General features: G+C 44.4%; 1 annotated feature.

Annotated features, from left to right (window-relative positions):
• Positions 4,113-5,106: an enhancer, noted in NCBI's record as "OCT4-NANOG-H3K27ac-H3K4me1 hESC enhancer chr20:22643831-22644824 (GRCh37/hg19 assembly coordinates)". NCBI's record gives its function as "activates a minimal SCP1, AML or CMV promoter by ChIP-STARR-seq in primed H9 embryonic stem cells {active_cell/tissue: H9 hESC(primed)}" and the evidence as "EXISTENCE:reporter gene assay evidence [ECO:0000049][PMID:30033119]".

The raw sequence follows: 8,194 nt of genomic DNA on the forward strand, positions 1-8,194 counted from the left end.
CAATTTTCAACAACACACCAAGACTACAAATGTTAAAGTATAAAATGAGAAAATGTGTTAAAATTGATCAAATAGGTTATGCACTATTTTTGAAGTGAGACTAGGCATTCTGTTAAAGTAAATTTGTAAAATTCAGATGTATTTGAAAATGTTACAGAATTCATAATAGCATTTTCCCTTTCTTCAAGGATTGCTAAAAATACAACTATTAAGTGTTTTGACCTTAAAAAGAGCCTTGATTCTCAATAATTTTGAAACCATTAGTGAGGATTTCTTTCTCTCTGCCTTCTCTCTGGGGGTTCTTGTGAAAAATCATTGACTCTCCAGGGAACAAATCAAATTCTAAAGAGGGTCCCAGAGAAGCTGCTAATTGGAAACAATCAACAAACGATTGGCTCTATTAAGAAGTGTGCTATGTCAGCCCTTAGCTTGTTACACTCCTAAGTGAATATAATTTCCAGAAAAATCCCAGAATGCAACAAAATATCTTAAGAAATGTTACACTTGGGGAAGTAAAGAACACAGGACTTAAGTTGTCAAAAATTAAAATCTTTCCCTAAGCACAGCTCTATCAGGTTTTTTCAGAGTATATTCTCAGATCCATTATCAGATTTTAATCTCACAAGTCTGACCAGAAAATTCATGGGAGACCTCTATGACTATTCACATGTGGGACGGACATTCAGAAAATGCGTTGCAAAGAGCATGGAGGCAAAGGCCACCAAGAAGTCGCTGGAATCAATGGCAGCCTTTGCAAAAACGTTCCAAATTCTTAACAACCATGACTTATATTTTCACAACTTAGTTTTTAAGGACCAGATGACTGAGTCTCAAATATTGAAATTTCCAGTAAACAATGAAAAGTCTAAGTGTTCAGTGGGTTCAAAGGAACACACCAGTAACAAATATTTAGAAAAATTAATGTCAGATAATTTGATGGGATTTTATAGAAGTGTTGGTTCTCACAGATTTAGTAATGTTTAAGATGATGGCCCATGAGTTCGCTTTCTGGTTCCTTGAATAAAATGCCCGACAGTGCATTGTCCTATCTTATCTCTGTGTTTAGGCCACTGCCGTGCAGAAGCATCCTTTCTTTCATAGGCAGGCAGGCAGCGTCCACAGGTGTGAATCCAGAAGTCAATGGCATCTGCACCTTCAGAATATCTACCTGACTTTCCCTACAAGACTGAGGTTTCAGAACCCACACCAACTCTGTGGGTCTTATTACCAGATTCACCCCCAGTGTCTGCTCTGGACCAAAAGGGCAAAAATCAAGGCATCTGGATAAGTGGCTGCTAGTCCTGTCCTTCCACTGACAATTAATTGAATCTGTCTGTACAGGTCCCTGGACCTCATCTGAAAAGGTGGTTGCGGAAAGTGAGAGGAGCCGATGCTTCTCTCTCTGCTTTCTTTTCAGGCCTAAGCCTCTGTTCTCATTTTAGTTTCTCTGGAGAATTTAATGGACTTTATAGACACAATACACCCTATTCCATCCTACAACCCAGAATCATTAGAAATAAGACTCGCAGCCAGGCTTGGTGGCTCACACCTATAATTGCAGCACTTAGGGAGGCCGAGGCGGGTGGATCACCTGAGGTCAGGAGTTCGAGACCAGCCTGGCCAACATGGTGAAACTCTGTCTCTACTAAAAATATAAAAATTAGCAGGGCGTGGTTGTGCACACCTGTAGTCCCAGCTACTCGGGAGGGTAAGGCAGAGAATTGCTTGAACCCGGAAGGCGGAGGTCGCAGTGAGCAGAGATCGTGCCAATGCACTCTAGCCTGGGCGACAGAGTGAGAATCTGTCTCAAAAAAAAGAAAACAAATAAATAAGTAAAAAGACTCGGTGGCCAGGCACAGTGGTTCATGCCTATAATCCCAGCACTTTGGGAGGCCAAGGTGAGTGGATCACTGGAGGGCAGGAGTTTGAGAAATAAGGCTCACTGGATTTCAAGAGGCATTCGGTGACATCAGATTTTCCCAAATTTGCCAGAAAGATAATTTTACCTGATTAAAAAAACTTGCCAGAAAGACATAAGACATGTGGTAAAAACTCTTTATAGTTTTCTTTGAACTGAAATTCTTTTTTTTTTTTTTTTGAGACAGAGATTTGCTTTTGTCGCCTAGGCTGTAATACAGTGGCACGATCTCAGCTCACTGTAAACTCTGCCTCCTGGGTTCAAGCAATTCTCCTGCCTAAGCCTCCCAAGTAGCTGAGATTACAGGCCCCCGCCACCATGCCTGGCTAATTTTTGTATTTTCAGTAGAGATGGGTTTTCGCCATGTCAGCCTGGCTAGTCTCAAACTCCTGACCTCAAATGATCCACCTGCCTCAGCCTCCCAAAGTGCTGGGATTACAGGCGTGAGCCACCACGCCCGGCCTGAACAGAAATTCTTGAAGCCAGAGAGTTATTAAAGCTAGACAGAAATACACTTTTGCATCCCTTTTGCTAAAAGCCACCAGGCCTGGCAAAGCTATGACTCTATTCAGCCACAGCATTCAGAGGCTGGGCCGCAGCATTCAGGGGGAGCAGTTCCTGCTGAAACAACTGGCATGCCCAGACTCTAAGAGAAGGCCAAATACTAGTATCAATCAACGGGTGCTTCCTGAGTGCCTGCTACAGATATCACACATGCTACACGCCTGGTCCTGACAACTAGTCCTAACTAACTAACAGCCAAGCATTTTGGCCCATTAGAGAATCTGTAAGAAGGGCACCATGGCTGCCTAGGACTCAAATGAGAGAGACCAAAGCCCCAGAAGCTAGAACCAATTGAGAAAAAGTTTCCGAGAATTTGCTAACATTTCACTTGCCCTTATTATTGTGGAAGCTGAAATTTAGGTCTTTATTAAAAAAATCATATTAATTTATTTGATTAGAAAATGGTTATTGGGGTACTGGTGTATATGAGTCAGTGTGGAAAGCAAAATCAATGCTGGCCTTGCTTTTTAGAAGTGCAGGTGTTTGAGATGCTGTCTGAGAAGAACATGTTATGATACAGATGTTGCACATCTGGAATGTGGAGCTCATTTCATTTATTTATTTATTTTTCTTTTTTTGTTTTTTTTTGTGTAAATTTATGGAGTACATGAGAATTTTTTTACAAGGTATGTAATGCATAGTGATCAAGTCAGGGTATTTAGGGTCTCTCTCTCTCTCTCTCTCTCTATATATATATATATATATATATATTTTTTTTTTTTTTTTGAAGCTGAGTATCTTTGTCACCCAGGCTGGAGTGCAATGGCGCGATCTCCGCTCACTGCAATCTCTGCCTCCTGGGTTCAAGCAATTCTCCTTCCTCAGTCTCCTGAGTAGCTGGGACTATAGGCATGCATCACCATGCCCGGCTAATTTTTTTGTACTTTTAGTAGAGACGATGTTTCACCATGTTGGTCAGGTTGGTCTTGAAATCCTGACCTCAAATGATCTGCCTGCCTCGGCCTCCCAAACTGTTGGGATTACAGATGTGAGCCACCGTGCCTGGCCACAATATATTTTCTAAGTGTAGTCATCCTACTCTGGTATCAGACATTGAGTGTCTTCTTCCTATCTTCCTGTATGTTCGTACCCTTTATCTCTCTCCTCTGCATCCTCTCCTTCCCCGCACTTGCCCTTCCCAGTCTGTCATCTGTTTTTCCACTCTCAACTTGCACGCGTTTAAATTTTTTAGCTCTCACGTATAAGTGAGAAGATGTGACAGTTGTCCTTTTGTGCCTGGCTTATTTTCGCTTTAAAGTGAGAGCCGAGGTCAGCTTGTACATGGCAGCTCCCAGGATTGTGATCTGAGGATCTCCGCAGAGCATGGCTCGGAAGTACAGGCTTCTTAGACCAGTTAGTACAGGAGCGGGGCCAGGAGAGTGCTGTCCCCTCAGCTCCAGTGAGTGGCTGCCCATCCAGAGCAAGCCTGCAGCCCCCACCCGCCTCCTCCTTTCACCATTACGTTGTACTCCCTATGAAACTCCCATGTTTACTGTTGGCGACACCCTCACATTGTGTCTGACTTCTGTCACTTTCCCATCTCAGTGCATAAAGTGCAGCCTGCCTGTGGTGTTTGTGATCTTGTCTTGTTTTAAGTCATCTGGGCGAGTGTCCTTTCTCTAGTTTCTTCTCTGTTGTTGACAATTTCTAGATTGATTTCAAAACAGGCAAATCCTCCCTCCCCATCACCTCTGATTAGGGAGGAACAGAGCCGTGTGCAAAGGACCTATTCCCAACACCAGGACACCCCAAGCTGCTGCATTCCTGCTGCACTCCAACAGGCAGCATGTCCATCTCCTTGGAAAAGAAAGACATGATTTTCTAGGGGAACAGCTCCTAGCATATGAACTGCCTCTGGCTTTGGTGTTGGGAGCAGACCTCTAATTTGTACCTTTTACGAGGAATCAGCAGGCTACAACAGCAGATTTCCTACCAACAGCAGCTTTATTCCCCTGTGGCCAGGCCGGGTCCCTTAGTGTTGCCTTGCTGAGCTTTGGCCATCCTCAGGCAGCCCTGCAGCACAGCCCAGAAGCACTGAGGTCCCCAGAGTATCACCTCATCAGCTCCCTGGGGTCTCAGACAAACACAGCCTTCCTAGTCAAGGAAATAATGTCCCCCTTGTGATGCAAAGCCCCCTGGAGGGACTGAGAGGAGCTTCCTGGCTTCACTTTGAGCGCAGCTGTCCTCAGTTCCTCCTGTGAAGCAGTGGGTAATGGGTGGCCTGGCTGGGCTCAGGTGGGCAAACAGTCCTTCTGAAGGGAGAGACACCAGGCTGGGGATGTGTATTCAGCCCCTCAGGAAGTGTCCAGGTTCCATGCTGCTCGGTGTGCCATGGAGATGCAGATTTCCTCTCAGCTGCCCGATTTCAAAGCCAGACCTGGCTGGAGACTTTTCAGAGCGTCACACCTGGGACCTACTCCTTCCAGAAAAAAAGGACTTCCACTGACTTTTCAGGGAGGTTGGCTGAACTCTGAACTCTGAGTCTCTTCAAGAGACTTCAAGAAGGGGAGTGTCTAACGGCTTTTTCGACTGCATTAAAGCAGTGACTGGTTCTCTTAACATTCAAGGTGCCTTCCCTAATTTCCTTAGTGAGCAATTTAAGATACATTTGAAGATTCCTGCTTTTGCCTTTTCTCCCCTTCACCAGACACACTTCTTAAGAACAAAATGTAAACTCTTCTACATTGTGCCATTTTGATTTTCAAGAACCTGCTATAGCTCCCTATTATCCGAGAATGAAATGAACCTGATCTCCTCAGGGACACCTATGTAGCCTGCCGGTTACATGTATGTCACATCTTCAGGAAAGTCTCCCCAATGTCTGGGCCTAGGCAAAGTCAGTGTCTTCCTGCACTGCTTGTATGTGTGCAGTCCATGAGAGGAGACCCAGGTCTGGTTTGCCTGCTGCTGGCTCCTGATGCCTAACTCAGTGCTGTGCACAGCAGGCTTATCAAACTTGAATTACACATTTTTTAAAGGAGTCTCAGGAGAAATCTTTGTGCTGCCAGGCTAACACACAACATATCCTTACGTCCCTGATCACTGATTTCTGCTCCAAAATACCCACAAATTATCCACTCTTTGAAGCCCAGCTTGTCATATTTTCTCCATGCACTTTTCTAATGACTGTAGCTCATGATATTATTTTCATTTTCACACACCTTTTCACAGGCTACCATGTGGTATAAATTAGCATCTAAGCATCTTTCTCAGTTTGTTTTCTGCTATGTTGATGGAATATCATGGACTGGGTAATTTATAAAAAGTAGAAGTTTATTTGGTTCATAATTCTGGAGACCGGGAAGTCCAAGAGCATAGTGCTGGCACCTGGTGAGGGTCGTCCCATGGTGGAAGGCTTCACGTGGCAATTGAGAACACAAGATAAAGAGAAAAAATGGAGGCCAAACTTTTTTTTTAAGATGAGGTCTCACTCTATTGCCCAGTCTGGAGTGCAGTAGCACCATCACAAGTCACTGCAGCCTCAAACTCCTGGTCTCAAGAAATCCTCCTGCCTCTACCTCCCAAAGTGCTGGGATCACAGGCATGAGACACCATGCTCAGTCGAACTTATCCTTTTAGCAGGAGCCCACTCTCACAACAACTAACCTACTCCCCCAAGCTAATGACATTAATTCGTTAATGAAGGCAGAACCCTCATGAGGTAATCACCTCTTAAGGGTTCCCGTTTTTAATACCTTTGCAATGGCAATTACGTTTCAACATGAGTTTCGGATATTCAGCCATAGTATTCCATCCCTGGCCCCCCAAAACTCATGGCTTTCTTACATACAAAATACATTCGTTTCATCCCAATAGCCCCTAAAGTCCTAAGTGTTCCATCATTGACTCAAAAGTCCAAACTCCAAAGCCTCATCCACATCAGCAATGTGTGAGGCTCAAGGCATGGTTAGTCTTTGGGCAAATTTCCCTCCAACTATGAGCCTGTAAAATTAAAACAAGTTATCTGCTTCTAAAATACAATAATGGGACAGGCATAGGTTAGACGCTCTCATTTCAAGAGGGAGAAATGGCAAGAAGAAAGGAGCAACTGGTCTCAAGTAAATTTAAAACCCAACAGTGAAAACAACTTTAAGTGTTAAAGTTTGAGAAAAATCTCCTATGATTCCACGACCTACATTCTGTGTACACTGGGGTGAGGGTTAGGTCCCCAAGACCTTGGGCAGCCTGACCTCTATGGCTTTGCTGGGTGGGAATCTCATGCCTGCAGCATTTCTAAGCTAGAGTTGTATGCTGGTGGCCCTATGCTTCTGGGGTTTTTCAGGTAGCCCCACTTCCGTGGCTCCACTTGGCATTACCCTAGTGGATGGCTCTGCCTCTGCAGCAGGTCTCTGCCTGGGTCCCCAAGCAGCCCATGGCATTCTTTAAAATGTAGGTGGAGGAAGCTGTGGTTCCATAGCTCCTGCGTTCTATGAGCCTGCAGAATTAACGCCACATGGATGCTGCCAGAGTTTACTACTGGTATCTTTTGGAGCATCTAGTCGAGTCACACCTGGGACCACTTGAAACATGGCTTGAGATGTCAAGGAGTGCTGTGCTGGAATGTGAGGAGCAGAGTCTCCAGGTGACCATGGGCAGTGAGGCCCAGAAAGGTGCCCCAGGTTCATCTCCTGAAACCACTCTGCCTGCCTAGAGCTCTGGGCCTGTGATGGGAGGGCGAGCCTCAAAGATGTCTGAAATGCCTTTGGGGTCTTTCTCCTATTGTGTTGATGAATAGCACTTCCCTCCATTCTATCCATGATAATCTCTTTAGCAAACAATCATTGACCACACCCTCGGTTTGTTCTCCTGAAGATACCTTTACACTATTTACATGGCTGAAAATTTTCTATATTTCTCATTTTACTTGCCTTTTAATTATAAATTCTGTTTTTAAATAAGTTTTCTTCACTTCCCTCTTACAATATGCAGTTAAAAGTAGCCACACAGCTGCTTGAATGCTTTACTTCTTAGATTTTTTTTTTTTTTTTTTTTTTTTTTTTTTGCCAGATATCCTAGTTTAGTACTCTTTAAGTTTTGCATTGCACAAAACCCTCGGGCCAGTATACAATTCAGCCAGGGCTTTTGCTACTTTGCAACAAGGATTTTCTTTTACTTCAGTTTCCAATACTTTGTTCCTCAGTTCCATCTGAGTCCTCATCAGAATGGCCTTTACCTTCCATATTTTGACCAATGTTCTGGTCACAAACACGTAAGTAATCTCTAAGAAGTTCCAGACTCCCCCCTACAGCTATCCTGTTCTTCTGAGCCTTCATTAGAATTGCCATTAACATGGCCGGGTACGGTGGCTCACGCCTGTAATCCCAGCACTTTGGGAGGCTGAGGTGGGCAGATCACGAGGTCAGGAGATCAAGACCATCCTGGATAATATGGTGAAACCCCGTCTCTACTAAAAATACAAAAAATTAGCTGGGCATGGTGGCAGGCGCCTGTAGTCCCAGCTACTCAGGAGGCTGAGGCAGGAGAATGGCATGACCCTGGGAGGCGGAGCTTGCAGTGAGCTGAGATTGTGCCACTGCACTCCAGCCTGGGGGAAAAGAATTGCTCTTAACATGTTATTTGCAGTAATCTAGGCTTTTCCTAACCAGCTACTTCAAAATCTGTTCTGTCCATACCTTTCACAGGTATTTTCAGCCTCTGTCCATTACTCAGTTTCAAAGCTGCTTCCACATTTTCAGGTATTTGTTATAGCAA

This window comes from Homo sapiens, chromosome 20 (genome assembly GCF_000001405.40).
Source record: "Homo sapiens chromosome 20, GRCh38.p14 Primary Assembly".
Classification (NCBI taxonomy): Eukaryota; Metazoa; Chordata; class Mammalia; order Primates; family Hominidae; genus Homo; species Homo sapiens.